Source organism: Homo sapiens (assembly GCF_000001405.40).
Source record: "Homo sapiens chromosome 1 unlocalized genomic scaffold, GRCh38.p14 Primary Assembly HSCHR1_CTG9_UNLOCALIZED".
In the NCBI taxonomy this organism is placed as follows: Eukaryota; Metazoa; Chordata; class Mammalia; order Primates; family Hominidae; genus Homo; species Homo sapiens.
The window spans coordinates 20,588-38,546 of record NT_187369.1 but is presented as its reverse complement, the minus strand read 5'-3'; the positions used below and the strand labels follow the sequence as shown (position 1 = coordinate 38,546).

Genomic DNA, 17,959 nt, shown 5'->3' with positions numbered 1-17,959 from the left:
TTTTGTGTAATCAGAGGTGACTTGATGAATAGTTACAGTTCATCCATAGCATCTTTGTTCCCAGGAGAAAGAAAACAAATCATGATTTATACGATCATCACCAGGGCGCCTCTGACCTACAAAGAGGGTTTGGGTCAAAGCCGGGGCAAAGGGCAAGGGCTTGGTCTGGGAGCACTTTTCTGCAGCTGTCACTGTGGTCAGGGCTAGAGCTGGCAAGGGTCTGGGAGTCAGAGGTCTCCCCCAAGACCCATTCTCTCCCCTCTAGGTAGTGTTCCCCACAGCAGAAATGATGCCCAGCCTGGCCCGTACTTGGCAGCACCCGGACACGCCAGGCCAGCCATAGAACCCCCTGGTGGCTGGTCCTCCCAGGCACAGGGAAGGATCCTAAAGTTCAGCAATGGCTGTGCGCCAGGCACCAGGCCTGTGCTCAGGGCTCTGCAGGCACTTCTCAGGCACTCCGCACGAGGTCAGGATGACAACTGTTGCCCCCATTTCATGGATGGGTTTGGGAACACAAAGAGACAAGAAGCAAGACTGTGGCACAGCTCAAAGGCACGGGACTCGAGCCAGGTCCTCCTGCGGGGCTGTGCCCCAGCAGCTGTCAAAGAGTGTTCCTGAGTTCCCAGCAGTGAGGTCTGTGGGGAAGGGCAGTGGTCTGTGCGGTGGGAGGGAGGGAGGGAGGCAGAGGGACAGACCGACCAAGAGCAGAAGGGGTGTAGACGTGGCACATTTGGAGTCAGAAGCAGGCTCTGCATCAGACACAGCCTCAAATCGGGGCTCTGCCTCTTTCTCACAGAGTGATCTTAGCTCCTGTGCCTCAGTTTCCTCATCTGTACTGGAAGAACAATGCTAACACCTGTCCTGTGGGTTTGTTACAAAGACCAGCTGAGAGAACGTGTGTGTTGTACTCATCACAGTGCTTGAGACAGAGTAATCATTCAGTAAATGGTGGCTGCTATCACTATTATTATTATTTACTAATATTACTTTTATTAATTCCTCTCTCTAGTGATGGGAATTTTGTTTATTTTCTCATTTATTTATTTATTTTAGAGACAGGCTCTTGCTCTGACACCCAGGCTGGAGTGCAGCGGTATGATCATAGTTCCCTGCAGCCTCAACTTCTTGGACTCAAGTGATCCTCCCTCCTCAGCCTCCTGAGTGGCTGGGACTACAGGTGTGCACCAACACACCTGGCTCATTTTTGTATTGTTTGTAGAGACGGAGGTCTCTCTATGTTGCCCAGGCTGGTCTCGAACTCCTAGGCTCAGGCAGTCCTCCTGCTTTGGCCTCCCGAGGTGCTTGGATTCCAGGTGTGTGATGGGAATTTCATTTTGGTCCTTATGCTCATCCATATCTTTGTAATACTCCCCAGTGACTGTGAGAGTGCCCATTGTTCTTCTTGTCCTCAGGCCAAGGTGGAAGGGGATGTTGAGCCAGGACCCCTTCCCACCCAGCCCAACAGCATATCTGCCTCATGTTCTGGGGTATTCCAAGCTGGAGGCTCTGACTCCATAATGGGGCGCATGAGTGCAGATGGTGGAATACTAATGAGAATGGTGATGAGCTCCAGCACTTACTGAGGGCTCATTCCGTGCCAGGAACTTGGGCTGGGAGTGCCAGCCAGCGGCCCTGCAGGAGGCCGTGGGTACCACTTCCCCCTGCTGCTCAGATCCTGCTTGATGCCAGCTTCTCAGACCTTCTCCGGCTGGCTGGGCACCCCTGGGTCATGGATCTCTGCCAAGTAGGGAGTGCTGAGAGAGCAGAGCTCACTGCAGGTCTGGCCCCCCACCCGCTGTGTACACCGCCATGGGCCTCTGCAGAAAGAACCCAGTGGGCCCGCACCAGCCCCTGATCCCCAAGACCCCGGCACTCACTGTGCCTTGGTTACGGGGTGAAAAATTTAGGCCGCTGAGCGTCGGTCATGAAATATTCAACAGCCTGTTCTGATGCAGCAGTATGTGAGTGTGTGTGGGGGTGACGCTGGCGCTGGGGTGTGGAGGCTGGCAGCCACGAGCCAGCATGTTTCTGAAGATAGATACGTAGCTGGGTCTTCTGTCTCCCTCATCTGTGTTGACGGGACCCCCTCTGGATCACCAGGCATGGTGCCTGCTCCCCGCACCATCATGAAGTGCCCGGCTCAGCATCAGCCCCAGCAAATGGCAGCCCTGTGTCTAGGGAGTGGGGAGGGAGGAGAAATCAGTGAGTGGGGGTCCATGGGGGCTGCAGAGTCAGGGGTCTCAGTCAGAGTCAGCCTTGGGGTCTCAGGACTCAGGGAAGTGGACAGAGAACCAGGGCTTTAGGGACAGGGAGATGCCAGCTGGGAGGGGCTCAGGATGTGTGTGAGAGGGAGGGAGAGGGCACACGTGACAGGGGTCAGAAGAGGGGCTGAGTCGTGTTGGGAACAAGAGGGTGGGTGGGCAAAGGGGGGTAGCCTGGTGCACGTTGATGGGCAGGCAACAAGTGGATGGGCAGTTGGATGGGTGAACGAGGGATGAATGCAGGGTGGAGCATGTGGTTGATCTACGGGGTGAAAGACTGGGGGAGGTAGATGGGCAGGATGTCAAGTCCTGTGAGGAATTGGCCTCCTAGGCACAAAAGGTGAACTGGAACCCAATAGGTCGTGGCCCCCAACCTGGAACTTCTCCTGGGTCTGGGGGTAGGTTGTGGCTCCACCTAGTGTCCTTCAGTGGCAACTGCACCCTGGGCTGTTCACACCCAACAGCCCAGCAGCCAGGACAGCCCTGCTGTTCCCTAGGTAGGCCCCCTCTGGGCTGGCAGAGCAAGGATAAGGGACAGTGACAGCCGAGAACTAGGCCCTAGAAGCCCCTGAGACACATTCCATCTCTTCACTCCCGGCATGCCCATATTGCCAGCCAGGCCCTGCATGCACAGACAGATGGGTGTTCAAGTGCCACTTACCAACTGTGTGACCGAGGAGAGAGCTGAGTCTGTGCCTCTGTTGTGGGACTATGGGTGATGGCACAGAGTCCCAGCTCCATCTGTGAGCCTCCCCAGCTGTAGCTGCACCATTGACTGAATTCTGATTCTGGCAGGTCCCCTGCTAGGTGCCTTACCGGTGTAATCTCAGTTGATGGTCACAGTAATAGTTGATGGCCGGGCGCAGTGGCTCACACCTGTAATCCCAGCACTTTGGGAGGCCGAGACAGGCGGATCACTTGAGCTCAGGAGTTTGAGACCAGCCTGGCCAAGATGGCAAAACTGGGTTTCTACTAAAAATACAAAAATTAGCCAGGCGTGGTGGCACATGCCTGTAGTCCCAGCTGTTTGGGAGGCTCAGGCAGGAGAATGGCTTGAACCCAGGAGGCAGAGGGTGCAGTGAGCTGAGATTGCGCCATTGCATTCCAGCCTGGATGACAGAGAAAGACTCCGTCTCAAAAATAAAAATAAAAATAGAAGAACCTTCTTGCCAGTGCCGTAGCCCAGAGCTAGCACAGCAGAAGCATTCAGTACATAGTGGACATCCCGAGGGCTGCCAGATTAACAAAAACAGCAACAACAAAACCCGGGATGTTTGACTAGCTTTGAATCTCAGATAAAAAAGTTGTATTTTAGTATAAGTATGTCCCATGCAATATTTGGGATATAGAATACTAAAGCATTATCCGTTCATCCGAAATTCCGGTTGAACTGTGTGAACTGCATTTTGTCTGGCAACCCTTACCACCCTGCCCGCTGGGAACTCAGTCTTCTGGGGGAGGCAAAGGTCAAAATCAGTTATGGTCAACCAAGCATGACAGGTCATGCTCATAGTGGCCCTGGGCAGTGTGGGGCGGAGGCCAGCAAGGGGGAAATAAATCAGGGTGGCCCTCATGGAGGAGGGATGGGTACTGAGTCTTCAAGAGGGAGGAGGATGGAAGGACATTCCAGATGGAGGGGGCACACGATGAAAGGGATAGAGGTCAGACACAGCAGTTGTGGGGACTCATGGTGACAGTGGGCGAGAGGGGAGGAAAGGCCAGCTCACCACATCTTTGTAGACCTCGGTTAAAAAGTGGGACTGAGGCTGGGCGCGGTGGCTCTGTAATCCCAGCACTTTGGGAGGCCGAGGCGGGCGGATCACGAGGTCAGGAGTTCGAGACCAGCCTGGTCAACATGGTGAAACCCCGTCTCTACTAAAAATACAAAAGATTAGCGGGGCGTGGTGGCGCATGCCTGTAATCCCAGCTACTCAGGAGGCTGAAGCAGAAGAATCGCTTGAACCCGGGAGGCAGAGATTGCAGTGAGCCAAGATCCAGCCACTGCACTCCAGCCTGGGCGACAGAGCTAGACTTCTTCTCAAAAAAAAAAAAAAAAAAAAAAAAAAAAAAGTGGGACTGAGGGCAGGGCAGTGCTGGGTGGGACGCCCTCAGGGGCCTCTGAGGGAGGGTGGCTCAGGACTCAGTCCAGGGGGAGCCCCCCGGGCGGCAGCGGGCCGGTGACAGGGCCCTCTCCCGCCCACTCTCCCTGCCGTCCAGGGCTCCCCGGGAGGGGAGGGGGGCGGGTAAGGAGGCCTCGGAGGGGGTGAGGCGCTGAAAGCCCACGGTGGGCGCTGTGTCTCCGCAGGGGAGTGAATGCCCAAACCAAGAACGGTGCCACGCCCCTGTACCTGGCGTGCCAGGAGGGCCACCTGGAGGTGACGCAGTACCTGGTGCAGGAATGCGGCGCGGACCCGCGCCCACGACGGCATGACCCCACTGCACGCCGCGGCGCAGATGGGCCACAGCCCGGTCATCGTGTGGTTGGTGAGCTCCGGGCCCGGGCGGTGCGGAGGGGAGACGGGGCGGAGCCGGCAGGGCGGGGAGTGGAGGGAGCGGGGCCATCAGGAGTGGGGCGGAGGACCGTGGGCGGGGCCTGCAGGGGCCTGGCCCCCATCCCCCGCCCCTCTCTCCCCGCCCCTCCCGCCCAGGTGAGCTGCACCGACGTGAGCCTGTCGGAGCAGGACAAAGACGGCGCCACCGCCACGCACTTCGCGGCGAGCCGCGGCCACAGCAAGGTGCTCAGCTAGCTGGCTGCTGCTGCACGGCGGGGAGATCTCGGCTGACCTGTGGGGCGGGACCGCGCTGTACGACGCCGCCGAGAACGGGGAGCTAGGGGTCAGCGCGGGCCCGGGGTGGGGGCGCGCGCCCTCTGCTGGCACCGCGCTCTCCGCACGGCCCTGCCCGGGCGCGGGGGTCCCAGCTCGTGGCCGCGGCCGGGTCCTCACTGCGTGCCCCCACAGTGCTGCCAGATCCTGGTAGTGAACGGCGCGGAGCTGGAAGTCCGCGACCGCGACGGGTACACGGCCGCTGACCTGTCGGACTTCAACGGCCACAGCCACTGCACCCACTACCTGCGCACGGTGGAGAACCTGGTACGATCCCTGCGCTGCTCCTGTCGCATTCTCTCTTCTCGCCCCTCCACCCCAGTGGTGGGTGTCGTCACCCCTTTTACCAAGGAGGAAGCTGAGGTTCAGAGACGTGAAGCCCGCTACCCCACACGACCTGTCAGCCCAGAACCACTGCCTGCTGGGGACTGAGGGAGTAGAGGCACAAAGGTTAACGGAAAGAGGACAGGGAAGAACAGGGTCACCCCAAGGGGTAAGGCTGGAGAAATCACAAGACAGGCCCCATTGGGAACAGGCAGGCTCATTCACCTACCCATAGACATTAGCTTGGGTATAACTCACAGCCACCCTCTGCAGAAGAGAGTGTAAGTGTCCCGTTCCACATATGGGTAAAGGGAGTCTGCGGGGCACCAGGATCGCATCACCAGTAAGTGGTAGAGTGGAGAACCTACCTTGATGGCCTGACCAGGAGCCACCTCTCTGCCCCTGCACCATATATTAGCTGACTTCATGGCTGGGTCATAACTGGAAACCCATGCTACTCTTTTTAAATTATGTTTTTATGGTGAGACAGCCACGAAGTGACCTACTGGGACTTGAACTCAGCTGTGGATGTCTCCAAGTGAGGGCTCTGCACCATCTGGTACAATGCCTGCTTTGAGGCAATAGGCAGGGAAGAGAGTGGGCCTCACAGCCAACCCCAAAAGGATGCGGACCAACTCCATGGGGCAGCCTGGCCATGAAGGGGCTGTGAAATGAGGCCCGGAGGGAAGAAGGCAGATGGTCTGTGCCCTGAGCACCTTCTGTCCATCTGTCGTCCCTGCCAGCACAGGGGGATGGTCCTGGCTCTGGGGGCTGCAGAACACAGCAAGGCCCAGAGGCCAGAGGCTGCAGGCGGGCCTGAGGGTGAACTTCCCCCCGAGAAAGAGTCTCTGGAAGAGAATGAATGGCCCAGCAGGTAGTGAGCACTCTGTCACTAGGGTATATAAGCCAGGATGGACACAGGGAAGGACATTTCTGCATCAGTGGTGGGTCCCCATCAGTTAAGAGAGCCTGTGACTCTGTCGAGGGACCATGGGGGGTGGCACCAGAGCCCAGGGCACCTGAGGGCCTGTCTGGATGCAGCTGCTAGTGGTCATAGGACAGCAAACACTATTCATTGGATTCTGACTTAGGCAGGTACCCTGCCGAGTGCCTTAAAGGTGTAATCTCAGTTACTCTTCACAGTACATTAAAAAAATAGTTGGCTGGGTGCAGTGGCTCAGGCCAGGCGCGGTGGCTCATGCCTGTAATCCCAGCACTTAGGGAGGCCGAGGCGGGCAGATCACGAGGTCAGTAGATCAAGACCATCCTGGCCAACATGGTGAAACCCCGTATCTACTAAAACTACAAAAAAAAAAAAATTAGCCAGGTGTGGTAGCACACGCCTGTAGTCCCAGCTACTCGGGAGGCTGAGGCAGGAGAATTGCTTGAACCCAGGAGGCGGAGGTTGCAGTAAGCCAAGACCGCGCCACTGCACTCCAGCCTGGTGACAGAGCAAGACTCTGTCTAAAAATAAAATAAAATAAAATAAAAAAGTTGACAGGCCGGGTGTGGTGGCTCATGCGTGCACTTTGAGAAGCTGAGGCGGGTGGATCACCTGAAGTCAGGGTTCGAGACCAGCCTGGTCATCATGATGAAACCCCATCTCTACTAAATATACAAAAATTAGCTGGGTGTGGTGGCGGGTGCCTTTAATTCCAACTACTTGGGAGGCTGAGGCAGGAGAATTGCTTGAACTCAGGAGGTGGAGGTTGCACTGAGCCAAGACCATGCCACTGTACTCCAGCCTGGGCAACAAGAACAAAACTCCGTCTAAAAAAAAGAAAAGAAAAAAATTTGACAGTATGGCATTTACTGGGCGCCATGTCCTGGAGCTCAGCAGAGCAAGTAGTGCTGTTACCCCCATTTGCAGATAAAGAAACTTAGGCACAAAAAGCACAGGTGACTCACCCGAAATAGCTAGTAAGTCGGGGAGGGGAAGTTTGAAGCCACAGTCCCAGACTGCAGAGCTGGGTGGCTCAGGCCAGGCGCAGTACACCTGCTGAGGCCCAGCCTCTTATCTGCTGCCTACAGGGGTCAGGGCTTGGTGCCCTCAGCACCCACTGCTGTTGCCCAGGTAAAGAGCACCTTTGGGTGCTGCCCACGCCACCTCCTATGGCTCCCCTGACTCCTGCGGTAGGTAGCAGGGCCTGGTCCCCTGGAATGGGTGGGGTGTGTGTGCCCTGGTCCCCTCACTCAAGCAGGCCCAGCTGAGGCAGGGACAGACCCAAGCCACAGAAGACGCTGGCCCAGAAAAGGCAAACACTCCAGCAGAGCCCCTAATTACGGGGCCAATGAGCACGGCCGCTGAGCCGTTACCTGGTGCCAGGCCTGCCTCTCTCTCCCAGGGTGCCTGTGACACTTCTTAGGCAGGGAGGGGGCACGGGGCAAGGAGGAGCAGGCCTGGGCAGGAGGCAGCGGAGCAAGCGGGCTTGCCGGCAGCAGGGGCAGCATGGGCAATGTAAGCAGGGCCCCTACCACAGCCCCCTCTGCACCGGGAGGGGACAGGCCTGTGGTCAGACGCACAGACCGGGCAGGGCGGGGGAATGGCAAGCCTGGCAGCCTGAGCTCTGGCTGCCCATCACTGCTCAGCTGGCCATCCAGGCCCTACCCTTACCCCAAGGGCCCCATCAGGAGACAGGCCGGGCTGGTGTTGGGAGTCTGCTCCAGGTCCCAGGTCTGGCAAGGAGAGCTGGCTTGCCAGCCAGGTCACTAGGGATGGGCCTGTGCTGTGCCCTTCCCCATGGAGCCTGTGCCGATCTGTGAGGGAGAAGGCCGATCTCCTGGCAGTTCTCCCCCTGGGGTGCAGCTCAAGGCCCCCTCCTCGTCGATCTCTCCACCCTCCTAATCAGGGAGGAGCCAGGGGAGGGAGTTTCCCAAGAACCTGGGTCCTCTGCCTGGCGGGGCTGGGCTTGAATCTTAACCCGGAGGAATCTGAAAGACCCTCTAGCGATGGGGAAGAGACCCCAGAGAGGGGTGTGGCTTGGCCAAGATCCCACGGCAAAGGCATGGTTGAGTAGGACCCTGGCCTGGAGAGCAACGCATCTTGGGGTGCAGTTGCCTTCATGGCCTCCCTGCCTCCCCTTCAGAGCATGGAGCACTGCGTGCTCTCCCGGGATCCATCCGTGGAGCTGGAGGCGAAGCAGCCGGATTCAGGCATGTCCTCACCCAACACCACGGTGTCGGTCCAGCCTCTGAACTTTGACCTCAGCTCGCCCACCAGCACCCTCTCCAACTACGACTCCTGCTCCTCCAGCCACTCCAGCATCAAGGGCCAGCACCCTCCACGTGGTGAGTGTGCCCAGGAGGAAGAGGGGGAGGGAGAGCAGACTGAAGCCAGACTGCTGGGCTGTGAGGGTTGGCCTTGGGCCAGCCTGCCACAGCCAATATCGAAGACTACTCTCATCACTTGCTTTTAAACATGGGGAGGCGACACCCTTTCTGGTGAGAGACAGATGTCACTCATACTTGTGTGTGCTCATCACAGACATACATGTACATCCACATGTACTCTCCCCACCCACAAAATCCACGTGTGCCGCCCACCATTCATTATTCTTAGCTACTCACACACAAAAGCACACACTTGTACATGTGTACACACAGCATACAGATATGAACACACATACAGAGCCAGGCTAATATCTGCACACACCCACCTTACACACAAGCACACAATGCTCTATTTCCATACTACAGATATGCACACACACACACACCATGTCCACAGAGCAATGCACACACATTCATCAATACAAAGAAGCATGTGCACAAATGCGTACACACTCAAACATACACAAATTCACAATCGCCTCGGCAGACTGCAGGCTTGTGTGTACACACACCCTGACCGTGCCCTGAGCATGGGCGTCCATCCACTTGCAATGCCTGCTTCACGCCACCAGATGGTGGCCTCCAGACCTGGCAGGGTGCCCTGCAAAGATTGGATGTGGCCATCTGTACTCCCAAGGAGTAGACCCTCCCCTTCCAGGTGACCCTGCCCTCTAGACACACGAAAGCCTCCAGTGCTTCCCCTCCAAACCGGAGTGCCTGGTCTTCCCCCAATAAGTGCTGGGCTGGGGCAGGGCAGGGCCAGGGAGAGGAAGCCCAGCAACGCCAGGGGCCACAACAGGTGTACCAAGTGGTGCCCGGAGCCCACCTTGGCCCTCGGCAAGTTGTTTCCAGGTGGTGGAGAGTCTCATTCTTGGGGGAAAGCCTGTCTGCATGCTTCCAAATCTGGCCCTTCCTTCTGCCTCCCCAGGGCTTCCCAGCACTAGAGCTGCAGACATACAGAGCTACATGGACATGCTGAACCCAGAGCTGGGCCTGCCTTGGGGCACGATTGGGAAGCCCATACCCCCACCACCCCCACCCAGCTTCCCCCCGCCACCCCCGCCCCCAGGCACCCAACTGCCCCCACCCCCACCTAGCTACCCATCTCCCAAGCCTCCTGTGGGACCACAGGCAGCTGACATCTACATGCAGACCAAGAACAAACTCCGCCACGTGGAGACAGAGGCCCTCAAGAAGGAGGTAGTGAGCCCTCACCCACTGCCTGCCTCCCAGCAGGGGTACTGGGCTGATGGGGGCCAGTCAGGCCAAAGGCCTGGCCTCACTAGTGGGCACAGGGTGGGGGTCCCTGGGTCCATGGCATATTCAAGAGTCAAAGCTCCTGGCGAGTCCCACGAGGGGTCAGGGCTGGACACTGGACTGGGAGGAGAGTAAGAGCAGGTCACTGTCCTCCATGGGAGCTGGGGGGTGAAGGACGCAGGTCCAGACAGCTGTTCCTCACCAGGAACTGGGCCTGTGCCACCTCTTGCACAGAGTGGCCGGGTTGTCATGGAGTTGACAGAGAATGCATGGAGACTGCCCCTCCCCAAGCATGCCCCCCCACCCCCACAGCCCCAGGCTCAGTCGGAGAGTGTCACCCAAGGGAGGTGGCTGCCAGGTGGAAGGTGCCAGTGGCATGGCTGTAGAGGTAAGGGCTGGAAGGAGGGAGGGAGGAAGGTGAGCAGGCACTAGCAGGGCTGGGCGCCCACCGGCAGTAGGGGCTGGGAGGAAGTGAAGCTGTGGCTGGTTCCAGTTTAGGGCTTGAGCTCCTGGGGGAAAGGGCCAGGCCTGAGCTGGGAGCCCTGGAGGGAAGCGAGCCTGTGTGGAGAGGATGAGGGCAGGGTGGGTAGGTGAAGTGTGAGGTGCCTAGGGATGTCTGGGGCCTGCAGGCGCCTGGCTGAGGCTCTGGAGCAGGGATTGGGGCAGAGGTCTGGTCTGAGCAATTGCGGGTATCCTCGGCAGGGTGCCCTGGGGAACACTGGCGTTCTGGCCACAGGAACAGAGCAAGGATGGTCTAAGAGGTGAGGGGACAGCCTGAGGTCACAGGTGGCCAGATGTGGTGTGGCAGCTCCCTGGGGTCCTGCTGGAGCCTGGGACCTTGCAGTTCTCTCTTAAGCCCAAGGCAAAGCCACCCCAGGGCCAATTCATACAAGGTGACTCAGGTCACAAGGCCAGTGGGCAAGGGAGGCATGGGAGGGACACCAAACCTGCAGGCCAGCTCCAGTAGCTGCCCTCTTCACGCCACCTTAGACCAAGCTCCCACAGTGGCTTTCCCCTTTCATCTCTGGGAGGCAGAGGGGGCCGGGCGGGTAGGGCTGCAGGGGCCCTGGAATCGTTGAGCTCCCGGCGCAGACTGTGGGCCCCGCCCAAATCCACAGGACAGGTGGCCCAGCCAGTGCCCCCTCTCCACCGCTGAGCCCAAGTGCCAGGTCTGTGAGGTCACCTCCTGGCTGTGCGAGCCCCCTCCCGGCTGTGTGCGTCCCTCCCGGCTGTGTGTGCCCCTCCCGGCTGTGTGCGTCCCTCCCGGCTGTGTGTGCCCCTCCCGGCTGTGTGTGTCCCTCCCGGCTGTGTGCGTGCTGGGCCGCAGACGCCAGGGCCCGGGCCGGGAAGCTCTACAAAGGGCTCTTTGTGTCGCCGCGGCGCCTCCCGCGCGGGTGCCTGACCGCAGGTGGGAGCAGGGTCGTGGCGTCGGAGCCTCCGGGCTGCAGGGGGCGCGGAGCCGGCGGGCTGGCCCAGAAAACGAATCCTGCGGTGTCGCGTTTCCTGCAACGTGAGCCAGGTCGGGCGGGGTGAAGGGTCTGAGGCCACCGCAGGGACGCATGGGCTGGAGAGTGGGGCAGGGGACAGCCCCCACCCGGTCACTCAGTCTTTGGCCCGGCCGCCTCACTCTCCCTCACTGAGCTGGGCCTAGTTGGGGGCAGCTGCGACGGGGCGGGAAGCCGCGCTGTCACCCGACCCCGCCTTACGGCCCCTGAAATCCGAGGCTTGAGCGCGGGTGTCGGTGTCGCTTTCGTGGATGGCGATGGTTTCCAGATGCAGGAGGGAAACGGTGGGGACGCGACCCGGAGCCGGCAGCCAAATATGAGAGGCCCCCTCTGCCCACGGTCAGCCCTCTCTCCTCTCGGGCGGGGATGAAGGTGGGGGCTCAGCTCCCAGCTTAGGGAGAGGCGCAGGGGGCGGGGTCACATCTGGCCCGGGGCGGGTGCAGAGCCGCGGCCAGGTGTGGCAGAGTAGTTGGCGCCCCCGTGGCATCCGCGACGGCTGGGGGGGGTTCGGCCTGGGATTGGCGGGCCCCGGGTGATGTCAGGCCGTCGGAGCCCATAGGCTGGCCGTGCGCGGGCGTCTGTAACCTGAGAGGAAGTATCACGTAAAGCAGGTGTCGGGTCCTGCCGCCCCCGCCGCCAGGTGCACAGCAGGACCACCAGCACCGTGGCAGGTTGGAGCAGCCCCTAGACGGACAAGCGGGGTCCGGGGCAAGCCGGAGCCTCGGAGAGCACAGGCTCTGGAGGGGGCTCCCTCCGGCCCGGGACCCCCGAAAGACAGGGCTCCGCGGAGCCCTGGGGACCCGCAGTCCTTCTGACAGCCGAGAGCGGAGTGCGGCCGAGGGCCTAGTGAAGGCTAAGCTGGGAGGTGCCCCTTCTCTAGCTCCCCCTGGCGTCGGGGCTGGGCCACCCCGCCCCTGGGCCCGCCCCTTCTGGCCTCAGTGGGGGACCCTGTGCCCCTTGGCCGGTGCCCAGAACCCCTCCCTGTAAGGCGGGCGGAGCCTGCCCTTCCACCGAGGCCCCCATGAACCTCGCCCGCTGCCCACCGTGAGAACAGGGGGTCTAGGAAGTCGGCTGCTGCACCCCCCGACGGCCGCTGGCCGCGAGTTCCCAGGAGGTGAAGAGCTGGGTGGGGAGGCGTGGGGGGCGCCTACCGGGCAGTTGCCCGAGCCCCACCGGTCACTGTCTTCCCGCAGCCGAGCTCCTGCGACGGCCACGACGGGCTACGGAGGCAGGACTCCAGCCGCAAGCCCCGCGCTTTCAGCAAGCAGCCCAGCACGGGGGACTACTACCGGCAGCTGGGCCGCTGCCCCGGCGAGACGCTGGTCGCACGCCCGGGCATGGCGCACCGCGAGGAGGTGCGTGCCCGCCAGCCCGCGCCCGCCGGCTGCCCGCGCCTCGGCCCTGCCGCCCGCGGCTCGCTCGAAGGCCCCTCCGCTCCCCCGCAGGCGGCGCAGTCGTCGCGGATGCTACGTGGGCGCCAACTGCTCTGCCACACCTGACCGCGGCTCTGCACGCGCCCCCGGCCAGATGTGACCCAGACCCCTCAGCCTCTCCCTAAGCTGGGAGGTGAGCCCCCACCTTCATCCCCGCAGGCGGAACTCCCTGGGAACCACGTGCCTAATGGCTGCGCCGCGGACCCCAAGGCGTCCAGGGAGCAGCAGCTGCTGCCGCCGCCGCCGCCGCCGCCGCCCCTGCCCGAGGCCGCGAGTTCGCCGCCGCTGGTCCCGCCTCTGCCCCTCGAGGGCGCTGGCCCTGGCTGCGGGCAGCGCCGCTCCTCCTCGCCCACCGGCAGTGAGTAGGGGCAGGTTGAGGGGTGGGGGGCGGCGCTAGCCCTGAAAGGGGAGGGAAATCTAGACACCGCCCCCTCCCCAGCTGTCACTGCCCGGGTCCTTCCTCTTCTACATGGTCTTCCGGCCACCCCTACCCCATTGAGTACTTGACCCTAAGAGAGGGCTCTGGGTTGCTTGAGGTCCTGCCAAAGCAGGACCGGGCTGCACAGCCTGGGGCAAGTCCCTTCCCCAATCTGGGCCTGCCTCCCACCCTCTAGCTGTGTGGCCTGGACAAGTCCCCTCCCCTCTCTGGGCCTGCCTCCCACGGGCTAGAAAGGGCCTTCCAGCTCTGGCGCTGGTGTTTCCCATGAGCTGGTGCTGGTGTTTCTGATGAGCTGGTACTGGAGGGACACTTGAAGTCGAACCAGCTTCAGAGAGGCCCCGCAGCTGGCCACCCTTCCCCCTGCCCCTGTCTATCCTGAGCCTCTCTTCCTCTCTCCACGTCTTTCTCTTGTCTTTCCAAGCAGCACAGACCTGAAGCCTTCTTAGATATGCCAGGAACTCTTCCTAGCCAGTTCCTGCCAGGGGCCCTGGGCCAGCCAGAGCCTGGCTATGGGGGCAAAGCTGTGACCCACCATGTTTCCCCCTCCCTCCCCGGTGACTTCCCTAGGCATCCTTTTTTAAGAGCTAGACTGGCGCAGGATTCCTGGGCTTCTTTTCTGTAGGGTGGGACAGTGTCCCCCTGCCAGGACACCTAGAAGGCCCAGGACAGGGTGCCTAGATGTGGTGCTCCCATCCCAGCCTGGCTGGGGTGCCTTCCTCACCCAGCCACTCAGGGTAGAGATCATGCTTAGTGGCACCCCTCAAAGCTTCATCTCCCTGACTAGGAGTGCAGAGCAGAGCTTGTCCCCCTATGGTTCCTATGGAGCCCCAGCCCCTGCAGACCAGAGCCCATGGAAGCATGTCCAGCACCTGCCGAGCCTCCTTCTCCTTCCCTCCACAGTCTGCAGCAGGGCTGAAGCTAAGGGCAGAGAAAAATATACTCTGGGCTTCCCCAGACACCCCCACCCAGCACAGCCAGGGCTGGGTGCCCTACCCCAACCCAGTGCCAAGGTGGAGGCCCTTGCTGGGGGCTAGAGCCACTGGTGGCCCTGCCCTGCCCAGCCCTCAGGGGCACCAGCCAAACCAGGAACTCGATGGACCACCCTCATGGGGCCCCAGAGCAGCCTGAGCCAGGGTCAGATGGGCAGAAATGCTCCTCCTCTCTTCTCCACTTCCCCCCTCCTGCTCTCCCTGGCCCGCTCCCTGTCCCCTGCTATCCCAGTCTCATCCTGGCCCCCTTTCCCTCCTAACTCCGCTGTCACTTCTCTCCTCTTGGTCCCTAGAAGTGAGAGTCCTGAGGCACAGGAAGAGTGAGTAGCTGCGTGCGCGGCTCCTGGCTGAGGCTGAGGCGCGGGGTGGGGGGAAGAGGCAGGAAAAGCACGGGAGGAGGGGCCCAGCCTTGAGGAAAGGGCAGGGGCAGGGGCTGGCAGGCGAGAGAACCTCGATGCATGGGTGGGGCCTTGTACCTCATACCTACCCTCATACCCACATATGCACCCAAGCATTCTGCGCCTGGCTGATGGTTTTGCCTAAATAAATGAATAAGCCACACCGATTTTCCCTTTCTCCTACTCTTCTCCTCCCGGTGACTGCACTCTGGGATCCCCAGCCTGGGAATCCAAGAGCTGTCGGCCCATTTTATTCCTCCCTCCCAGACCTGACCCCTTCATCGGGGCTCAAGAGACCTATCTCTCCAAATCTCCATTCGCCTCCTCCGGCTAAGCCAGAAAATGCACCCTCTGCCCTGGGTGTTTGCATATTACCTGCCTGCCCTTCTTCCTGGGTGCCTCCTGTGGCCTTAGTAAGGGCTCTGCTTTCCCCTAGAGCTGAGCCGTGCTTTGCCATAAATGTGCTCCCGGCTTGCAACCAATGTGTCTGCTTGTGCGTCTGTCTGTGGGTGTGGTGGCGAGGGAGGGGAGCAGGTGGTACTGGCACTCCGGGGTCTGGACTCTGCATGTCCATGGAGGCCCCAATTGACTCAGCTCAAGGGTCACTGAGGCTTTGCTGATATAGGGAGAGGGCCAGAGGGAGGCTCCACCCAGCCGGGCTGAGCCAGGAAACCTGGGACAAAGGTCCGGTGGCTGATTCCAGGTAGTGTTTTGGGGCTGGGCAGTCAGTGGCTGGGCAGGAATATATGCCCAAGAGCCACCATGAACTCCCAGGGGTCTCCAGGCAGGGGCCCTCCATCCCGTGAGTAGGGTGGGGGAGGATGGTGGGGTTGCCACAGTCGGGGAACCAAGGGCCTGCCTCTGGGGGCCCTGAAAGCTGCCTGCGGGACCTGGGATCTGGAGAGCTGCCCGCTGGCCCCGAGGATGGGCACCCATCCAATCTTGGGTTGGGAAGGGGGCTGCAGAGGGGCAGGTGAGGGGTGGCAGGGATGCAGCCCCACCCTGGCCAGTGCCTCATCTCCTGCCTCTGCATAGGCACCAAGTCTTTCAATGTGATGTTCCCGATGGGCGACAACTCAGAGCTACTGGCTGAGATTAAGGCAGGCAAGAGCCTGAAGCCGACGCCACAGAGCAAGGGGCTGACCACAGTGTTCTCAGGCAGCAGGCAGCCGGCCTTCCAGGTAGGCGGGCCCAGCAGGAGCCTGCGACCCGGCTTCCCTGGCCCTAGGCCACCAGGCGCTCAGCCCCACCGCTTCTCCCTGCAGCCCGATTCGCCGCTGCCGTCTGTGTCACCTGCACTGTTACCAGTCCAGAGCCCCACACCGCCAGCTGCGGGGTTTCAGCTGCTGCTCAACGGAAGCTTGGTTCCGGTGCCGCCCACTACTCCTGCGCCGGGGGTGCAGCTGGACGTGGAGGCGCTCATCCCCACGCACGATGAGCAGGGCCGTCCCAAGCCCGAGTGGAAGCGCCAGGTGATGGTGGGCAAGATGCAGCTGAAGATGTAGGAGGAGGAGGAGCAGAGGTGGAAAGTGGGTGGGGCGGGGTGCCCAGGGAGCCCTGGGGTCTGCATCTGGATGCACAGCCCATCCCCCACGCCACCCCCAACACCAACCTCGGGACCTCCTATTTTCTTTCTTTCTTTCTTTTTCTTTTTTTCTTTTTCGTGAGACAGAGGCTTGCTCTGTCGCCCAGGCTGGAGTGCAGTGGCATGATCTCGGCTCACTGCAACCTTTGTCTCCTGGGTTCAAATGATTCTCCTGCCTCAGCCTCTCAGGTAGCTGGGATTACAGGCGCATGCCACCACGCCCAGCTAATTTTTTTGTATTTTTATTAGAGACGGGGTTTCACCATGTTGGCCAGGGCTGGGATTACAGGCATGAGCCACCATGCCCGGCCATCTTCTTTAGGGAAATCAGGGTGGCACGACCCCGTTTGGGGCTTGTCCCAGTCTCCACACACACCCCCAGCAGCTTGTCCTTGGAGTGAGACAGCAGCCTTTCTCAGACTCTCCTTCACCTGCCCAGCACCTGGGATCTGGTTAAAAGGCCTGTTCGGATTCAGGAGGTCTGGGCAGGGCTGAGGTTCTGCATTTCTAGCCAGCTCCTGGGTGAGGCTGCTGATGACACTGGTCCAAGGACCACACTGAGTAGCCAAGAGAGCTTTGGTCTCAGTCTTAGGGACCTGGGCTCCATTGCTGCGCTGCCGCCTTCCAGCTGCCGATACTGAGCCTCATCCAGCCTCAGTTTCCTTCTCTGTAAGGTGAGCTGATCAGCACCAGCTGGCAGGATGAGTTGCCTTCCATTCATCCAAAAACTATTCCCCGAATGCCATTTATTTTTATTATTTTTTATTTTTTTGAGACAGGGTCTCACTCTGTCACTGAGGCTGGAGTACAGTGGTGCGATCTTGACTCACTGCAACCTCCACCTCCTGGGTTCAAGTGATTCTCCCGCCTCAGCCTCCCGAGTAGCTGGGACTACAGATGCCCGCCAACCATGCCCGGCTAATTTTTGTATTCTTAGTAGAGATGGGGTTTCACCATGTTGGCCAGGCTGGTCTTGAACTCCTGGCCTCAAGTGATCTGCCCGCCTCGGCCTCCCAAAGTGCTGGGATTACAGGCGTGAGCCACCACGCCTGGCCCCCGAGTGCCATTTATGTGCCCCACACGCTTGTAGCCTCTGGGGATTCATGGTGAACATATCAAGGCCTGCTCTAAGGTGGCTGCGGACATGTGTGCGAGTCACCAAGCACACAAAATGGGGCAGGGTGAGAGAGTGGGTGGCAGTGGAGAGAAGTACCTGGGCTGATGCAACACAGCCAGCTGCAATGGGGAACGCAGGGGACTGGGGCAGCCCTAACCGGCCACCTTATACGTGGGCTGGGGGGTGTGTTAGGGAAGGAGGAGGTGATGTCTAAGGTAACACTTGGAAGACGAGTGAGGGGTGGCCAGGCGGAGAGGGGGCTGAAGAGCCGCAGGTGGGACAGGGCAGTCTGGAAGTGAGAGTGGATGTGGCCCTGACTGTCCTGGAGGAAGGGGGTCGCTGAGCTGGAGAGACCTCAGTGGGGGCCAGGTTACCAAGACCTGGCCAGAGGCCCAGAAGAGAACGGACTTTCTCCTGGAGCACTGGGGAGCCGGGTGCGGGGAGTGTTAAGCAGGGAAGAGGCTGCTTCCTAATTGTATGTGGGGAGTGGATCCCA

General features: G+C 60.4%; 1 pseudogene; it reads left to right on the top strand.

Moving 5' to 3' along the window:
- The first annotated feature begins 4,531 nt into the window (after nt 1–4,531).
- Nucleotides 4,532–17,959, top strand: part of LOC101060324 (espin-like) — a 31,605-nt pseudogene continuing 18,177 nt past the window's right edge.